At 37.9% G+C, this 20855-nt stretch overlaps 1 protein-coding gene across 14 annotated transcripts in view; it reads right to left on the reverse strand.

Moving 5' to 3' along the window:
* RRAS2 (RAS related 2) overlaps positions 1-20855 on the reverse strand; it is an 86587-nt gene that overhangs the window by 4084 nt on the left and 61648 nt on the right. For 13 of the 14 annotated variants that reach the window (XM_047426567.1, NM_001177314.2, NM_012250.6 and 10 more), the window contains exons 2-4: positions 13765-13852; positions 12757-12859; positions 12468-12576 (exon numbers count right to left, since the gene is read on the reverse strand). In XM_047426567.1, coding sequence (XP_047282523.1) covers positions 12468-12576; positions 12757-12824 — 177 coding nt within the window. In that variant the 5' untranslated portion in view covers positions 12825-12859; positions 13765-13852. Of the gene's footprint in view, positions 1-12467; positions 12577-12756; positions 12860-13764; positions 13853-14051; positions 14071-20855 lie in introns of those variants that run through there. The other variant, XM_047426568.1, reaches the window with a different exon arrangement.

Genomic DNA, 20855 nt, shown 5'->3' on the forward strand with positions numbered 1-20855 from the left:
TGTAAGGTGCTATTAAAGTATACAACCCTGTCAGGGAGATGAGCGAAAGCTTCCCTGAGGAAGTGACATTTAAGCCCAGAAGATAACAGAGTATGGAGTTGAGGGGTGGAGGGTGGGGGTGTGAAGAAGTATCCTTGCCAGAGAAAACTGAATGTGTGAGGCCATGAGAGTGAATGGGCTTTCCAAGAACTAAAAGAAGCGTCACATAGCTGGAATACATTAAGCAAAGAGAGAAAATGGCAAGAGGTGAGGATGGAGAAAAGTGTAAGTTTCAGAGGCCATAAGGTCTCTTCATCATTGCATTCCCCAAAACCTGGTACACAGGTGACACTCATCAATATGTGGGGAGAAATGAATTATGAATGCAATCACAGGCCCTCACAATGCCTTATATTTTGGAGATCAAGGAAAGGTGGCATAGCTGATTGATGTATAAAATGGCAGGTCAGAATAAGAAAACATAAACTGAATGTAAGTTCCTACATGTTTTAAATGTAAGGATTTGAATAGTGATGTTTACTAAAAATTATTAAACTCTATTACATTTACATTTATATAGTGGGGCTTAAAATTATATTTCTGAAAACAATACCTTTTATGGCTATTATTACAAAAGTAAACACCTGATGAAAAATTAGAAAAGCCAAATTGGGGGGAAAAAAAAAATCAAAGAAAATTTAAGAACCTATCAACCATAGAGAATCATGTTCTTTTGGTCATTTTTCAATGATACATAGTTTTTAACACTATAAAAATAGGATCATAATTTTTGTATATCTCATACTCTGGAAGCATTCTGAACTCATTTATCTAGGAGTTCTTTTGTAAATTCCACAGGCATTTCTACATAACCATGTCATTTGCTAATAAAGACAATTTTATTTCTTGCTTTTTGATGTGGATATCTTTTATCTCCTTTTCCAGCCTTAGTGCACTACCTAGAACCTCCAGTACAATGACATAAGTGGTGACGGGAATACTCTTGACCTATTTTGGATCTTAGAAACAAAGCTAGTTTTTCAACATTAAGTGTGCTGTCAGTTAGAGAATTTTTTTGTAGATGTCCTTTCTCAGGTTAACAAAGTTCTCCACTACTCCCTTTGCATAAGGCGTTTATCAGGAATGGATGGCGGATTTGCCAAATGTTTTTTCCTGCATCTTACTGAGATGATTATATGATTTCTCCTTTTTAGACTGCTAATATGATGAATTATATTGACTCACTGTCAAATATCAAACCAACAACCCATTGCAGGAATAAACTCTCCTTGAGTGATATATTGCCCTTTTTATATATTGTTAAATTCTATTTAATATTTTATTAAGAATCTTTATATCTGTGTTCATGAGAGATATTGGACTGTGGATTTCTTATGCTTTCCTCTGGTTTGGGTTTCTGAGTGCTATGCTGGCTTCACATAAGTTGCAAAGAATTTTCTCTCCTCTTCAATGTTCTGGAACACTTTGTACAGAATCAGTAGTATTTCTTCCTTAAATGTGTGGTATAATTCACCGGCAAATCTATCTGGGCTTGAAGTTTTCTTTGAGGTACGTTTTTAAAACAAACTCAATTTATTTTGTAGATAAAGTACTACTGATATTATCTTTTTTTTTCCCTTGAGTGAATTTTGGTAGTTTGTGCCTTTCAAGTAATATGTCCATTTCATTTAACTTGCTGAATTTATTGGCATAAAGTTGTTTATAGTATTTATTATCTTTCAAACATCTGAAGGATCTAAAGTGAAGATACCGCTCTCAATCCTGATATTGTGTCTTTTCTCTTTTTTATCTGATCATTCCGGCAAGAGTCTTGTCAATTTGACTGATCTTCCAAAAAGCCAGTTTAGGGTTTTTATTTTTTATTTTTTTTGGTAGAGGTGGGGTCTCACTATGTTACCCAGGATGGTCTTGAACTGCTCTGCTGGGCTCAAGCAATCCTCCTGCCTCAGCCTCCCAAAGTGTTGGCATTACAGGCATAAGCCACTACACTCTGCCAGTTTTTCTTTCCTTTATGGTTTTACTATTTTCCATTTCATTGGTCTTCATTCTCTTATTATTTCCCTTCTACTTACTATGGGTTTTAATTTTCTCTTTTTCTTCTTATTTCTTAAGGAAGAAACTAAAGGTCATTGAATTGAGACCTTTGTTCTAATACAAATATTTAGTGCTACAAATGTCTCTATATATACTTCTTTAGTAGCATGCTATAAATTTTGATGTTGTGTTCTAATTTTCATTCAGTTCATGATACTTTGTAATTTCCCTTTTCATTTTCTTGACCCAAGGGTTAGTTGGAATATGTTAATTTCCCAATATTTGAAGATATCCTAGATACCTCTCTGTTATTAATTTCCAAGTTAATTCTACTGTGGTCAGGAAATTACACACTATCTGACTAAAATCCTTTTAAATTTATTGAGGCTTACTTTATGATCCATTCTTCTTTCAAAAGAAGGTGCATTCTACTGTTGTTGGGTAAAGGGTACACTTAATGTCAATTAGGATATGTTGTGTTCAGTATTGTTGTTCAAGTCATCTGTATCCTTACTGATTTTCTTTCTACCTTCCTATCAGTTATCGAGAGGGGTATTGAAGTCTCTGATTTTAAGTGTGAATTTGTCTATTTTTCCTTGTAGTTCTTAACATCTTGCTTCAAGATTTTTGAAGCTATTAGATCACGAATGTTTGGGACTGTTATGTCCTCTTGAGGAATTAATCTCTTTATCATTATATAACACTCTTCTTTATCTCTGGTAATAGTCTTGGCTCTGAAATCTTTATCTGATATTCATATAGCTACTTTAATTATTTTCATTATTGCTAGCCAGGCAATCATGAAAATAATTAAAGTAGCTATATAAATATCTTACTCCATCCTTTTACTTTAACCTTTGTGTCTTCACATTTAAAGTAGATTTCTTGTAGCATCTTGTTTTTTTATTCAATCTAACACATCTGCCTTTTAATTGAGACATTTGGGCAATTTACATTTAATGTGCTCATGGATACAGTTGAGTCATCTTGCTATTAGTTTCCTATCCATATTATCTATTCTTTGTTCTAGTTGTCTTCTTTCTCTACCTTCTTTTGGGTTAGCTGAGTTGTTTTTATGATTGCATTTTACCTCCTTTGTTGGTTAATTAACTATATATCTGTTATTTCAGTGGCTGCTTCAGAATTTATGGTATACATTTTTAATTCATGACAGTCTAATTCAAATGATACCATACCAATTCAAGTATGGTTTAAGAATCTTACAACAGAGCCAGGTGCAGTGGTGTATGCCTAAAGTCCCAGCTACTTGGGTGGCTGAGGCAAGAGGATCACTTGAGCTCAAGAGTTCAAGGCCAGTCTGGGTAACACAGTGAGAACCCGTCTCTCAAGAAAAAAACAAACTAGTTAACAACAATATTTCTCCCTCCTGCTCTTTTTTGTTATTAACTTTTACTTCATAATGCGTTTATTTTTGCTTTAAATATTCAGTTATGGTAAGAGTAATTTATATTTATCCACATAATTACCATCTCTGGTACTCTGTATTCATTTTCAGATTTCCATTTGGTATCATTTCCCTTCTGCCTAAGGACATCTTTTCACATTTCTTGTAATGCAGATCTGCTGCGGATGAATTATCTCGCTTTTACATGTCTGGGAAAAGTCTTTATTTCATCTTCATTTCTGAAATAAATTTTTAGTAGGTAATGAATCCTAGTTGATAGTTTTTGCTATCAGTACTTAAAAGATTCTGCACCACTATCTTCTGGCTTCACTGTTCAATGAGATGCAATGATGACTCCTGCCATCCTTATCTTTGTTCTTCCATATGTAATGTGCTCTTTTCCCCCCGTCTGGCTATTTTTCAGATTTTTTTCTTTACCACTGATTTTAAGTGATTTCATTATAATGTATCTTATAATTTTCTTCATATTTCTTGTGCTCCGGGTTTGTTGAGCTTCTTGGATGTGTGTATTTTTCATCAAATGTGGAAATTTTCAGCAATGACTTCTGCTGTTAATCCCATCCAGTGCATTTTTCATGTCAGACATTGTAGTTTTACTTCTGAAAGTTTGATTTGGATCTGTTTACACCTTTCATGTCTCTAACATGTTTTCTTGATTGCATAAAATAACGGTCAAAATAACTGTTTTAATGTCTCTGTCCACTAATTCTATTATCTTTGTCATTTCTGGATCTGCTCCTATTAATTATTTGTTTCCTTATTGTGGGTCATATTTTCTTGCTTCTTTATATGTATGGGAATTTCTGAGTAGAAGGCTGGGACTTTTACGTATCAGGTATCAGATATTTTGTATTCCTAAACACATTCCTGAGCTTTCTTCTAGGATGCAGTTATTTGGAAATACATTATCCTTTCAGGTCATGCTCTAGGTTTTGTTACAGGGTACCAGAACAGCATTTAGTGTGGCTAATTTTGCCCCACTACTGGGACAAAACCCTTCTGAGTTATACTATCCAATACTCCAAGAAATATAAGGTTTTCTACTTTGATTGATTAGAATATGAATTATTCCTAGCCCTGTTTGAGCTCAAGGTATTGTTCCTTCTAAACGTTTTAGGTAATTTGTTCTCCCAGTTTAATATTCTATTCCAAAAATTTAGCAGCCTCAATACAGTATCATTAGTTTAGTACACCAATATACATATATCCAACAACTACTTCATAACTGTTTGTGCCCTGTGGCATTCCAACAGGATAACGGGCAGGTTCTACATAGCACTGGTATATCTAAGTTTATCTAACTTTTAAATTTACCTTGTCTCTCTTCAAAATAACGTATGTGCCACAAGGCTATGCATTTGAAATATAAACTGATCAAGTTACCCGAACAATTAACGATAAGGAAGGAAGCCGAGTAAACACAGAAAGCTTCACAGAACCACCAATTTTAGACAGGACAATTTCTGTTTTAGGAAAATTTGACATGTGAAATTCCTTCATATAAAATACCCCTATGCCGTCACAAATTCTGTTTCTTCTTCCTGGGATGTCATCCCTTCTCTCTCAACTCTACACTCTCAAATTCTTCCTCACTAACCTTTCAAGCCCTGAGCAATGAAACTTCCCCCTAAGTGTTGGTGCTGTTTTGGAAGCACCTTCTCAGAGCTCCCATCACACCATCTGGTTACCACTGACAAGTCTCTAACAATACCACAGTAAAATTTTTCGTTGTGTTTTCTTATTCTTTCACCACGTCATCATGTCCTCTGAGGCTAGGAAGTTAAGACAGGTTTGTCTTTGTACATCCAAAGCTTAGAAGCATGCTTAGCAGCTAAAAAAGTAAACACATGTTAAGTAAATGGTGTACAACTAACCAAATAGGTACATCCTTAAGTTAAAATATATATATATACACAAAAAGTAAAAGAAATCTCAATAAACTACTTACTTTGTTGGGGTAAATATGATTGGGGGAAGGAAATACACGTACTTATTAGAATTTTTCCAGTAGCTTTCCTGCTCCATTATTCCTCAAAAAGATACCTTGTCCTACCCATCATGCATAATGTAATTCACATAAACAGGAATAGCAACTCACCTATCCTTATATAGGGTAAAAAAAGTTAGGCCAGGCATGGTGGCTCATGCCTGTAATCCAAACACTTTGGGAGGCCGAGGTGGGTGGATCACCTAAGGTCGGGAGCTCAAGACACGCCTGGCCAACATGGTGAAACCCTATCTCTCCTAAAAATACAAAAAGTAGCCGGGTGTGATGGCACGGGCCTGTAATCCCAGCTACTCGGGAGGCTGAGGCAGGAGAATTGCTTGAACCCGGGAGGTGGAGGTTGCACTGAGCCAAGATTGCGCCACTGTACTCTAGCCTGGTTGACAGAGCAAGACTCTGTCTCAAAAAAAAAAAAAAAAAAAGAAGAAGAAAAAAACGAAATGTTAATTAATTCATGGTCTACATGATAAAACAATCCTGCTGCTAGGGTTATGTGCTTCACTTGTTTTTGTTTTGTTTAGTTTGGTTTTGGGACAGGGTCTCACTCTGTCACCCAGGTTGGAGTGCAGTGGCATGGCCACAGCTCACTGAAGACTCAACCTCCCAGTCTCAGGTGACCTTCCCACATCAGCCTCTTGAGTAGTTGGGACTACAGGCACGTGCCACCATGCCTAATTTTTTTTTATTTTTAGTAGAGGCAGGGTCCTGCCACGTTGTCCAGGCTGGTCTTGAACTTCTGGGCTCAAGGGATCTGCCTGCCTTGGCCTCCCAAAGTGCTGGGATCACAGGTGTTTGCCACCATGCCCAGCCATTTATTTGTTTTTAAAGCATGGTTTCACATCACTGTCTTCCAGGAAACAAAGCCAACAAATTTATACATACATTTCTGGTGAAGAAATCTCTAACCACATGCTTGTGAGCTGACACAGCATACTTTTAACTAAGTAGAAATAGCATTGCCATCACCAAAGCAAACAATAAAAGACAAAAAGGACAACATACCGGAACAGAGCCATAGCACTGTGGAAGTTAGAAATCAAAAGAAAACTGAAAGTTACAAAAGTAAGTACTTCCTAGAGGTTCCTCAACCCAGATAATTTCATAAAGATACCAAATAATATTAAGCCTCATCTCCTGGATATTCTGATTTGGTAGATTTTAGCACTTCCCAGACATGTTTTGTTTTAAATAACCAGGGCAAATCTGATGCAACAAATTCACAGAACTACATTTGGAAGCTTCCAGTAAGACTCAGTTCAAAAACACAGGTAGCAGCAGCAGTTCACAATAACATGTATGAGCTCATCTAGTACTACATATTTCCAAATAGAATAAACTACATTTCAGTGCTCAGAGTTATGTCAAGTTAATGAAGTTTACAGAAGCAAAACTTGTTTTCACAAACATCTATTATGTAAAAAGAATCATCACATTAATACAACGTCTTAACTCACTGGCACCCAGATTCATCCACCCAACAAATACTTATTTAGTGCATACCTCTGTTCTATATGCTAACGATAAAGCCTGAACAAAATTGACCTGTCAAAACCGAGAAACCCTCATAGTACCTACACCTACATTCACCATCTAAACCCTTTTAGACGCACATAAGGCACAGATAACGCCACATGTGGTAAGATCCTCTACTATTTGAGGAGGGGTTCTTTTTCCTAGGAGGCTGTAGGGGGCACACTGGTCAAAAGTACTGACAGATGGGAGTCTGGATTGATATACTTAGCTATCTATTATTTTAAGTATAATAAGTTATTTTCTCAAATTAATAGTAACGATTAATAATTAAGCAACTAAAAGGAGGGGAAAAAGAGGGAACAACCAAGGTAAGCCAGGAGAAAGATGGTAAAGACAAAAAAGCAAAGACAGTTGATCTCTAGACAGGGCTGAGTTGAGGACAAGGAACTTGAAATCAGATATATCATGAAATTCCACTGTCTAAGCCAACATACTGTGCTATTTAATTTCAGATTCAAGTGTTGTTATATTTACCTACTTTCATATTTTAGCAAAGTTAAGCAAATCATTTACCTATGTTTTCTTCCTACACCTTTAGCAGAATAAACAAAATGACTGGCATATCTTAAGGGACCAGATGGCTGGTAATACTAAACAACCACTCAAATTCTACAGATATCTTTTTATCTCACGTAAACCTCAGTGACTATTCTGTCTACTGCTGCATCATCACTGCCTAGAAAAGGTGTTCAATAAATACTGGATGAATGGATGGAAGGATGAAAGAAGCAACCCAGTCCACAGATACAGAGGCCATAAGCAAGCAAGCAAAGCCTCTTCTGGATGATATCCCTGAACCCTGGTGGGGTTCAGAATCTCAGGAGCCAGTGGTAGAAATGGCCAGTGCTGACCCACAAATTCAAAGAACAAGGAGAAATGGCATTTATTATCTACAAGAAAATAGGCTAGAAGGTAAAGAAACTACAAATGATCAAGTCTAAGACAAAGGTAGAAAAAAACAAGCTGTGTCGGCAACAGAGAGCAAGCCAGACTGGTTACTCAGAACCTACAGATGACAAAAAACTAAACATCTCTGAACAGGCGGAAAGAAGCTTTTACAGCATCCCCGTGGCCTGTCCAAGTTGACTTGGTAGAACAACGTAAGTGTGTCAAGACATTATAGACGGACACCTTTAATTGTGAAGAGATGTTAAAAAGGTAAAAACCGGCTGGGCGCAGAGGCTCACACCTGTAATCCCATCACTTTGGGAGGCCAAGGCGGCAGATCACAAGATCAGGAGTTTGAGACCAGCCTGGCCAACATGGTGAAACCCTATCTCTACTAAAAATATAAAAAATTAGCTGGGCATGGTGGCCCATGCCTGTAAGCCCAGCTACTCAGGAGGCTGAGGCAGGAGAATCGCTTGAACCCGGGAGGTGGATGTTGCAGTGAGCGGAGATCGTGCCATTGCACTCCAGCCTGGGAGACAAAGCAAGACCCGTTTCAGGGGGGAAAAAAAAGGTAAAAACCTCTACTATAGCATCTCAATTTCATGCTATAGTATCTCAATTTCAATAGCATGCCCCCTAAGGGTGGGAGATAAGGCATGTTTGTCTTTGCACATCCAGAGCCCAAGACACTTTAGAGAGACACGGAGACAAAGTAGTACCAACAAAGGACACTGGGGAGGCTGGAGGAGCAGGAAATACTATCTCAGAGCTAAGTAAAGAATGTGCTTCAAAAAGGAAGTGATCAACCATGTCAAATGTCACTGACATTTGTCCAATTAGTGATACTGACAGTGGCACTGAATGCCTGATGTCTGTAGAATCAAGAACGGCAGGAGAAAAAGTAGAGAAAGTAAGTTTCAGGAGTTTTGCTATTAAAGAGGGGCAGAAAAAATATACTCAGAGGGGAATGTGAGATTAAAAGTTTATGCTGTAGTTTTTTTGTTTTAAAGATAAGAGACATTGTAGCATGTTGTATGCTGATGGGAATGATCATGCAGAAATGTTCATCTGAAATAGAACAATTGCTGGGGTAATGTCCATGAGTTGGTGAGAAGGAACAGGATCCAGTGTCTGGTGGAGAAGTTGATCATAGACAGATGAACAGTTTATCCATGTAAGTGGAGGGAAGTGAACTTGATGGGGTACCTGTGCACTCATGTTAGTAGATATGGAGGTAAGGACATGTAGAAATTTCTCACAGAAACAGGAAAACATACACATTATCAGCTGAGAGTGAGGAAAGAGAAGAAAGTGTTACAGGTTGAAGAAAATGAGAAAGTATGTAAAAATTATCCAAACAAATGGGAAATAGGTGGACTAGGGAAATGTAGGATTCCCAGTCAGCACTAAAGGCCCATAAAGATTAGTGGTCATGACTTTAAAAGTGAGAGTAGTCAACATGCCTGAGTACAGGTGCAAAGGAAGAAAAAGCATAAGGAGGAATAAAACTTTTCTTTGTGTCTATCCTTCAGAGAGTAGACGCCATATAAATGAGCAGAAAACTAAGCAATCAGATTTCAGGCACTTGCTTTTCTCCCTTGGATATATATACATCTAAGCTTTTCAAGATATACATAATTTATGTCTATTTATATGGTTTAGATGGAAAAATAAATAAAAATAACTTACTGCAAGCTAACACTACGTATCTTTAGGGTGACTGAAATAAGGAAATCATTTCCTATATTGTTCTCTCACTTTTTTACCCTGAGAATCTATTACTTTTACAAAAAGTAAAAAAAAAAACTTCCACGAAAAAAATTATAATCCAATGATATACAAACAAAGCCAGTGCCACAATATGTTGACTGTCTGCAGACAGATGGAAACTGCATACCACATTCTGGCAATCTTCAGTACAGGTTGAATACCCCTTATCCAAAATGCATGGGACCAGAAGTGTTTGGGATTTTGGAATTTTTTTGATTTTAGAATACTGTATTTGCATATACATAATGATGTTTCTTGGGAATGGGACCCAAGCCTAAACACAAAATTTACTTTTTATATACACTTTACACACATAGCCTAAAGATAATTTTATACAATATTTTAAGTAATTTTGTGCATGAAACAAAGCTTTCACTGTGACATCACATGACATCAGGTGTGAAATTTTCCACTTGTGGAATCATGTTGGCTCTCAAAAAGTTTCAGATTTTGGAGCATTTCAGATTTCAGATTTTTGGGCTAGGGATCCTCAATCTGGTGTATAGACAACTTAAAAATAACTCATATAGACCCAAGCTGATAATGGCAGAGCCTCTTTGGGGTTCTAGTGGGCATACACCCTCCTCCCTTCCCTAATCTGCCACTGCCTACCCTACAGGAGATCTCCACCTATCCTAGGTCTCCTACCTATTCCTTTACTGGAGCTACCACCATGAGAAGGTTTGAGAAAGATCCTATTTCTATATTCAGGACAGGAAGCATATAGGGGTGAGGCAAAAGTCAGCGAGAGATAGGAAGAGAACTCCTTCAATGCACATCTACTTTGCCATTATTTCCCAGATGCAATGACATATAGAGTTTCTAGTACTAGAAAGAACTGAGAAGAGCCACAGGCAGGGTCCACTGGGCAACATCAATAAATATAATCAGGTTTAGAAACCTCAAGGAAATGGTCTTAAAAAAAAACAAAATTAAATCTAAAAAAAATAGATGAACTGTCTATGCTAGGTTTATAATGTAAGCAATGCCATATTCTTAATTATTTCAAACAGTTTATATTGATTTGAAATGAAGAACAAATTTTTTCACTCTAACTTTATAACCAGATTTGAACGAGATTTAGCAGGAAAATTTATTCTATACCAAGTTTCATCAGTGGACATTTCCAAATCTTAGCATTAAGATAATATATCATTTTCTTGGGCCAGGCATTGTGGCTCATGCCTGTAATCCCAGCACTTTGGGAGGCCGAGGTGGGTGGATCACAAGTTCAGGAGATCGAGACCATCCTGGCTAACATGGTGAAACCCCGTATCTACTAAAAATATAAAAAATTAGCCGGGCATGCTGGCAGGCGCCTGTAGTCCCAAGCTACTTGGGAGGCTGAGGCAGGAGAATGGCGTGAACCCGGGAGGCAGAGCTTGCAGTGAGCCAAGATCACGCCACTGCACTCCAGCCTGGGCGACAGAACGAGACTCCGTCTCAAAACAAAACAAAACAAATATATATATATATATATATATATATATATATATATATCATTTTCTCTTAAGTCAGTGTTTGAAATTGGGTATGCCGCCAATAAAATTTTATGTACACAGCTAAAATCAGAGACAGTTACAAAATAGAAAGCTGCCCTCAAAGCTGTTTATCAACCAATTTTTCCTGATGTTTACACTTTTCCAACAAAATCCTAAGAATCTGTAAACACAACATAATATAAAAACAAGAATACTTAAATACCAGCAAAATAAACAATTTAAACAATACATTTCAGATGTGGGGTAGAGACAAAAGACCTTTAAAAAAAGCCATATAACATTGATATTGTTTGGCTGTGTTCCCATCCAAATCTCATCTTTTTTAACTGCAGTTCCCATAACCCCCACGTGTCATGGGAGGGACCAGGTGGACATAATTGAATCATCCGCGGTTTCCCCCATCCTGTTCTCGGAGATCTGATGGTTTTATAAAGGGCGGTTTCCCTGCACACTCTCTCTTGCCTGCCGTCATGTAAGACGTGTCTTTGCTCCTCCTTCGCCTTCCGCCATGACTGTGAAGTCTCCCCAGCCATGTGAAACTGTGAGTCCATTAAACCTCTTTTTCTTTATAAATTACCCAGTCTTGGGTATGTCCTTTTAGCAGCATGAGAATGGACTAATACAAATGAACAGCCGGCATTAATATACAACTGACCTTGTTCCCCTCCCCTACAAAAAAGATGAATGTGCAATGTTACCAAAAAATTGTTTTAACTAATAAAATTTCAGTAAGTGGGTAAAGAAACAAGTGAGAATAAATTAGCCTGCAAACTAAATACTAAAAATATTATTTTATTAAATGTTACTGAAGTGTTAGAGCTAGCCAATGTAAAGAATTAACAGAAAATTCAGTCATTAAAGTGACTTAGAAAAAAATCCAAATACTGCAATTTAAATGAAAGCCATTCTCTACATGAAGTTAATTTAGTATTAACACCGAATAACTTAGGCCTTTAGTGGTAACTTTGAAATTATCCAACTAAGTTAGAGTTTTGGATGTAATCCAAGAAATTATTACATGCGAATAAAGCTAGTTTAAACACTTGCAGGCTTATAAAGTCTTATAAAATTTTATGAAAAACTATTTGAAAATAAGGAATTTTAATTTCCCCAAATCTACTTCCTTTTTATTTTTCACCCGCTGTGACTTCTGTAAATACAGTGTGCCAGACTCAGCTATAAACACTTAAGTGGCATGGAGCACCGTATTTTTTTTTTACTAGACTTTCAATTATTTCCTTAAATCTATCAGTTCACTCACATGATTATAAACAATTGGTTTCCCAACAGTGAAATTCCTTCTCACCTGTCTTTGATGATCCAGATCTGCTTTATTACCAATTAAAATCATTGGGAACTCATCACGATCCTTTACTCTGAGAATCTGTCTTTGAAACTTATAGATTTCTTCAAAACTTAAAAAAAAAAAATCAAAAACAAATTAATCAATTTGGTCAAGTATCAGAATTCAGCAAGTCTCATGCCCCAATTAGTACTTTATTTTTCCTTTTTCTATAAAAACAAAAAGTCCAAACTCAATAAAGTCTAGTGATCTTGACAAGAACAGTGGATCTACATTCTAATATGGTACAAACCTGCCTCTATCTGTGACTGAAAAGACCAACAGGAAGCCTTCGCCAGTCCTCATATACTGTTCTCTCATGGCTCCAAACTCTTCTTGTCCTGCTGTATCCAAAACTAAAGAAAAAACAACAAATGTAATTATACTTGTTTTTTATAAACTGCTTCCCCACAAGGGCAAGACCAATTAATGTGAGTCCTCTAGAGAGCCTCATACTTGGTATAATACAGAAATGGCATTCCTTTCTTAGTACTTTATTCTTAATACTAAAGGCAAATATATTCTAATGGCAGACAGTTACAGAGTTTATCTTCATCAGTATGGGTTGACTTTGTGGTTAGAATATATTAGCACACTAATTAGAAGCTTAAAAATATCAAACACATTTAATCAGATGGAGTCAGGTGACCTCTAAAATCACTTGAATGTTTTATCCCCTCCATGGAAAAAACTGAAAAAGATACCTGTAAATTCAAGAAAGAAATCTGAGTTATAACCACTATCCCCCAATACCATACTTAGTGCAGGTGCTAATGTAACTTTTGATCTCTGTAAATAAAAGAATCATACATATTAGAAGAATAGAGCTTTCTTTGTGGAGAGGGGGGATGTTTAGACACAAAACAGTACTTGCTAAAGTCTCTGTGCTATAAATTCTAAGTAACAGTATCAAACTTTTTCTATATTCACTTCATCCATTTTAACCTTTGCCAAAAGGTAGGAAGAGTTGAGACCTGACAGGTTTTTTCCAGTTGTCCCAATAAAATCAACTTCAACAAACTGCAATGAGACCAGTTTCACTAGAACAAGATCAATACAAATATCGTTTTACTTTTCATTTATTGAGGAATATTTAAATTACCCATTATGCAGACTCTTCAATCAAAACTTATAAATGACATGGGCTAATATTCCAGATCATCTAATATTTCAAATATATTATTTAACATAGCAAAACATCAGCGCTTACTTTTTTAAAAAATATGATATGCAAATTATCAAACAAAGGAAGTTTACTTACTATCTAGCCGGGCTGCTCTGTCATCTATCACACACTGCTTTGTGTAAGAATCTTCAATGGTTGGATCATAATCCGTTACAAAATAGGACTGCAAGAAAAGAAAAAACTTTATTTTAAAATTCATGGCCAGGCATGGTAGCTCACACCTGTAATCCTATGCTCTGGGAGGCCGAGGGAGAAGGATCACTTGAGGCCAGGAGTTTGAGACCAGCCTGGGCAACACAGCAAGACTCTTATCTCTTAAAAAAAAATTAAAAAATTAAAAAATTAGCCGACGTGGTGTGTACCTGTGGTCTCTGTTACTTGGGAGGCTGATGTGGGAGGATCACTTGAGCCCAGGTGGTTGGGGCTGCAATGAACCATGATTGTGCCACTGTACTCCAGCCTGGGAGACAGGACAAGACCCTGTCTCAAAAATAAAAATAAATAAAATAAATAGAATAAAAAATAAAATAAAATTTATGATTACCTGCCTACCAATGTACCAATGTAACTTTGCTTAACAAATTCCACTTATCCAGAACTAATCAAAACATTTTCACTGTACTAGGGTTTACCCTCTATGACAATTCCCCACCAAATGTTCTTATGAGCACCTTCACGTGAAGAAAAGGTACTAGGTATCTCTAAATTTTCATATCTGAAATATGCAAGACTGTAAAAGATCTACAACTTTTTTCATAATTATTTAAGGTTAAGAATCTAGATCTCAAACTCTAGAAAAATTAGAAAACACAGTAAGTTATAATTCAGACCTATTTGAATTAGCAACCTGATTATAATCATCAGTCCTAAGAAGTCAAGTATCTGGAAAAAATGGAGACAACACAAAGAGGCCTGGAACATTTCATCTTATACCTTTCTTTTCTCACACTTTGTCTTATTCCCCTTTCAACTGCCTTATGTACTACAAGAAAATATCATTTTGAAATTTTTTCATTAGTAGGAACCTCAAACTTACTCTTTCACTGACATCTTTTGTTGTTTTTTTATCTTAAATTCTATTCCTCTCTTCTCTGATCAAACCCTCCCAACTACCGAAGTCATTACCATAAAAAAAAGGGGGGGGACAGTTAAAGTATCCAAGTAAGAAGGGAAGAATCTCAGCCTACATTTCAGTTTTATTTAAAAGGGTTTTAAAAAATCAGCTACTCAGGAGGCTGAGGTGAAAGGATCACCTGAGCCCAGAAGGTCAAGGCTGCAGTGAGCCATGATCATACCACTCTGCACTCTAGCCTTGGTGACAGGATGAGACCCTGTCTCCAAAAAAGAAAAAGGTTTAAAAAAGATAACAACAATAATCTGAGAGAGTGCATTTCCCTCTTCTTACAGAAGGGCACTAACCAGGACACCAACATCATCCTCCATTTGTTCTGAGTATCTCCTTTGATCTACTTTGGACTGACTTCCTCAAAGCCCATTTTCCCACTGGCTCATTACAAAATCTGAAGGAATGATTTGGAAGGAGACAGCTTAATGCTAGGAACCAGCATCAAGAGTATTTAGCCTTCTTCAGGCAAGGGTTCCTGGCTCTTGGGACCCAACATTCGTGGCGACCTATGCAAACACCAGAGAGCTACTCAGAAACAAGCACTCTTGAAGAGGACAGAAAAGAATCCCCTGGTTTTGGGAGGAGATATATTAATCTGCCTGATACCATGACTTTACATATTTTTTTTGAAGGACACTTTCCACATTTTATTTAAGTCTTAAGAATAACTTTAAAGCCAGGCATGGTGGCTCATGCCTGTAATCCTAACACTTTGTGAAAATTACTTGAGCCCAGGAGTTCCAGACTAGCCTGGGCAACAAGGTGAGACCGCATCTCCACGAAAAATTTAAGACTTAGCCAGATGTGGTGGTGTACACCTGTAGTCCTAGTTACTCCGGAGGCTGAGACAGAAGAACTGCTTGAGCCCAGGAGTTCGAGGTTACAGTGAGGTATGATCATGCCACACTGCGCTCCAGCCTGGAAGACAGAATAACACCCTGTCTCTTAAAAAAATTTTTTTTAAATTAAAATTAAAATGTTTAACTTTAATCACAGAATTCCATATCTATAATCCTATTTGTTTTTTGATGTTTCACTTCAATGCATGATGTATTGAACAAAGTCTGTAAAAGAAATGTTCACCAACAGCAGTAACTTTTAGTAGGAAGCCATCTCCTCCACCACTCCATCACCATTTAAAAATAAACAGGTATCAATTCACTTAACTAGCCTTAAAAAAAAAAAAAAGCAGGTATCAAAACAATCATGAACTTACTTTTTGGCACCCATGCCACTTCAAAAAGTAAATAAATTTTACTGGCAACAATATTCTCTACACCCACTATTTTAAACAACAGGAATCAGCAGTCTTTCACAAGCAAATTGGATAAAGCATGCGCTGTACTTTTTAAGATTCATTTCTTGAAACATGTTTCCCCATATGCCATGCTTTTATATCTTGTAAAACCTGAATTTCACTGACTACTCCCAGCTGATGCCTAAAAGTGCTACACTGTCCCTACTGATTTGGCCTAAAATATAATAAACAAATGTTAAATACATTTTTTACAAATGCCAAGCCATGCACAATAGCTAGAATTCTTTAAATGTGACAGTTCTTGGCGTTGTGAGATTAAGATATTAACATGCACAAAAGATTGTTGGTTTGATTGTTATATAAAAGATTGTTGCAACTTTGAAGTCCAGTATAATAAACTGTTTTACCTCTACTCGCTATGGACATTTCTTTGGATGTCTTAACTCTTGAAACACAATCTTAGTATTACAAGAATTTTGCCATACTGCTACATGCATTTATTTCCACTCATATTAATTTTTAAGACAAATTCATTGTTGGGATTTTTGGATATTTAGGTTCACACCCAATCTTTGCTGTGTCCTATCTTCATACTTTGTCTACAGAGACCATCATCTACTGGCTACACGTAAATTGTAAAGAGCCATCCACATTGAAACAATCCTCCTCCAACGAAACATCACTCTGGGAACTGCCTATCATAGAATCAAAAACCTCTTTCCCTCTCAAAATTCTAAGAATCCATAGGTCAGAATATCCCTAAGAGCATTCACTGTGTGCAGGTAACAAATACAGGCATCACCTCTCACCAAAAAGGCAACATTTTTGTTAAACTTGGGTACCAGATATTTGAGGCAACAGATCACCAATAAGTAATCAGTCCCCGTGATGAAGTGTCGTGGGTTTAATTCTAACTCTGCTATTCCCTAGCTGTGGGACCTAAGGCAAATCACTTTACATGTCTAATCTTCAGCATCTGTAAAACAGAGACAGGAACAAAATCCTGTGAAGCAGGTAAAATGAAATAATGCATATGAAGTGCCAAGGCATGCTGATTAATAAATGTCAACCATAATAATAACTATTGTTTTTGTCATGCAGTTAAATGGTCTGAATTAGTGTTTTTTACTCAAGTATAAAGATTTGCTAAGCTCAGGAGTAGCTGTAATAATTCCAGTCCTAGTTACACTTCAGACCAACCACACGACCTCTGGGATTTGGTATCCAAACGTTGTGAATCAAGACAAAAGCTGGGGTTCTGGAAATAGTCTCTGGATCTGAGCAGCAACTACACAGTTAATTTACATAAGTAAAAACCCATCAGGCTGTACACTTAAGATCTGTACACTTTTTTGTACATATATGAATTATACCTCTAGAGAACATATAAATTAAATGGCTCCCTGCTGCTTACAGGATTCCATAGTTTCTTTACATGCTATGCAAAGCCCTCCAGGTTTTATGTAGTATGCAAAGCCATCCAGTTTGATCTGTGTTGTTCACCATGCAAAGCCTCATTCCCACTACTTGAAACCCTTCAGCCAATTGTCCTTGCTCTCTTGATTTCACTCACTCATTTGTTCAGTGATCATGTATGAAGCACCTACTAAGTACTCCATAAAGATACTCCATAAAGACAAGGTCTCTATCTTCAGAGTCCAGTGCCTTTTATACAACCACCAGTAGTTGAGGTATTACTGGGGGCAAGAGAAGGATTGGGGCATTTTAAGTCTATACCCAAGCCAAAAAACAAACAGCATGAAGTGCCAATACCATGCTTGTTCAGAAGGCAAGAGAAGTTAGACAGTTAATACTACAGTTATGTACAGAACTATGTATGCGTTCACTTATCAACACAGCCTCAGCAATTTGCCAGAAAAGAAAACAGTCTCTCTCCTGAAATTATAAAAAGTTACCAACCACAGCCCAGAAAGGATGTTCTGTAGCAGAAAGAGAAAAAAAGAGGAAAAAAAAGCAAGCACAGTATTGCACTGAGCTAGACAGTAAAGGTTCAGGCAAGGATAGGGAAGAAGGGTGGACCCAAGGGCTCAAAAGAGTACACTGAGGGGAAAGGAAGGGTGGAGGATGGAGAGAGCACATGTTTCCTGATAGACATGAAAGGATGTGTGCAGAAGAATCCTAGTCAAAAGACAAGGAATACCCTCCCATTCAAAGGGCAGCATGCCTTCCCGGTAGTATGGATGGGCAAATGAACTTCAGTTTCTTTAACATTGTCAGGAGATGTGGAGAAACATTTAGGATTAGGGAAGCTATCACATTCAGACAGAGATAAAATCGGGTCTGGCAAGCCTGGGCAACCCCCATCTCTACAAAAAATAAATTAGCCAGGCATGGTGGCACGCGCCTATAGTCCCAGCTACTCAGGAGGCTGAGGCAGGAGACTGAGGTCAGGGGATTGCTTGAGCCCAGAAAGATGAGGTTGCAGTGAGCCATGATGGCACCACTGCACTCCAGCCTGAGCAACAAAGCAAGACCCTGTTTCCACCCCCGCCTCAAAAAAAATTGATCTGGGTAAGTTTGTCAGAAGCCCCTAATAATGCCAAAGTATAATATTATGCTGGGATAAGCAGGATAATCCTGCTTACATGCCACTAGATTGCATAACAGGAGCTCGGGCTGGCCTCCTAAGGAGAACTGCCAACTCAGTATCTCCCCATTCAAAGAAGCCACGTTAAGGAGGAAAAGAAGAAGGAAGGAGAGAAAAAGGGGTGAGTTGCCCTTCCGCCTTCAGTGGTAAGGAGTGACAACACACTTTCTTCTGACACCAAGCTATTGGTGAAAGTGTAGTTCCCAAACACTGCCACAGAGTGGTGCCTGGTCTACACCCTGGGACTGGTAATTTACTGGAAATTCTAGGAAACTCAGTGAATCCAGCACACTGGTTAAGTCTACCACCCTTGCATAGAAAAAGGATAGGCTAGCTCTAAGGTACCACTGGGGAGTTGTAAACAAATGGAGGGCAGTTCTGAGCACAGCATCATTCTCAGGAAAGTCGTAGGAGTTCTCTAAAACCATAGGGTATAGAAAGGGGAAGGGAAAAGGAAAGGAGAGAACGGAAACAATAAACAAGTGTAGGAAAACCCTGAAAAATACTGAATCTGGGCAACGTGTATATGGTTGTAGGTTCTCTGGACTTTTGTATATATTTGACAGTTTTCATATTAAAATTAATTTTTTCTAAATCTGGTGGTAGCACATAAGGAAAGAGACAGTGATCCTTTTTTAACCCTGAGCTTTCACCTCATTCTACTCAAGACTACACATCATGTAGAAGGCTGATGTTTTTTCTTGCTCAGAATATTTTCCAGGTTTTTTTCTCTTTTCCCCCTCCCTCTTTTCTCCCTTCCTCCTTTTCTCTCAACACCACATATATCTTATCTACTTCGTCTTTTATTTTTTACTTTTATTGTCCATTTCTTCCCCGACCGAACTAGAAAGGAACTCCATGAGGGCAGGGACTTTGTCAGAGAAGTAAAGTGACCTGCTTAGTGCTTAAACATCAAATAACTTTGCTAATCTGCCTCTCTGAAAGTAAAACACACTCACACTCATCTTCCATTCCTGCTTCCACTGATCCCATCGAAAGTGACATATCCATAGGCCAGGCATGGTGGCTCAGGCCTATAATCCCAGCACTTTGGGAGGCCGAGGCAAGTGGATCACCTGAGGTCAGGAGTTCGAGACCAGCCTGGCCAACATGGTGAAACCCCGTGTCTACTAAAAATATAAAAATTAGCTGGGCGTGATAGCGGGCACCTGTAGTCCCAGCTATTCAGGAGGCTAAGAAAGGCAGGAGAATCGCTTGAACCCAGGTGGCAGAGGTTGCAGTAAGCCAAGATCATGCCACTGCACTCCAGCCTGGGCAACAGAGCGAGACTCTTTCAAAAATTAAAATAAATAAATAAAATTCATAAAATTTCAAATTTCTCATTCCCTTATTGGCCTATAAAACAAGGAGTAAATGTACCACACACATACACACACACACACACACACACACACACACACACACACCAAAAACCAAGACTAACAAATTTTCTTTCTTTTCTTCTCCTTCTTGAGCTCCTGCTCAGCTCACCCCTTACCCCCACACTACACACAGATATCAGGTCATGAAACATTCTAGAAGCAAAATTCTGTGATTCTCTGCTCCCTTCCAGTTTAAGACAGCATTTCCCTATTATTACTTCTATCCATAAAACACGTACTATGTTTTTTAAATTATGATAAACCAAAATGAGATTTCATTAACTTGCTTCCTATTAATAGATGCATTTATATCTTTACTGGAGACAACATGATGAGAAGAAAACACAAGGGCTCTGGAGTCGGAGAGCCTGAAATCCAAATCCAGAAGCCATCCTACTTGCTAGCTGTTTGAGTCCTTGGGTAAACTAACACATCTCTAACTCCATTTCCTCAACAGAAAAGGGCAAGAACAGCTAGTTTAGGGAAGGCATATTCCAATGCCCACTTCAGATGTGGCAGCAAAGAAGTTGTAAGAGAAAAGGAAAAGCTTCCCAGGGAGCTGCTCCCACTCCCAGGGAGTAGGGGGAAGCTCACAAAGTTGCCCCTCGGGATCTAATAAGGGCCACAGGTCCCCAGTGACTGTTATGTAGCCTCCACTCTCCTCTTCCAGGACAGAAGCGCTGGCTGAAGCCATCCTGTCCCTAGTCCCACCACTGTATCTCTGGTGTGTGGGGCTGCCTAGGGAGGCAGCAGAATTGAGGGAGTCTGAGATGTAAGTCAAATAGACCCGGA

This window comes from Homo sapiens, chromosome 11, assembly GCF_000001405.40.
Source record: "Homo sapiens chromosome 11, GRCh38.p14 Primary Assembly".
NCBI lineage: Eukaryota > Metazoa > Chordata > Mammalia > Primates > Hominidae > Homo > Homo sapiens.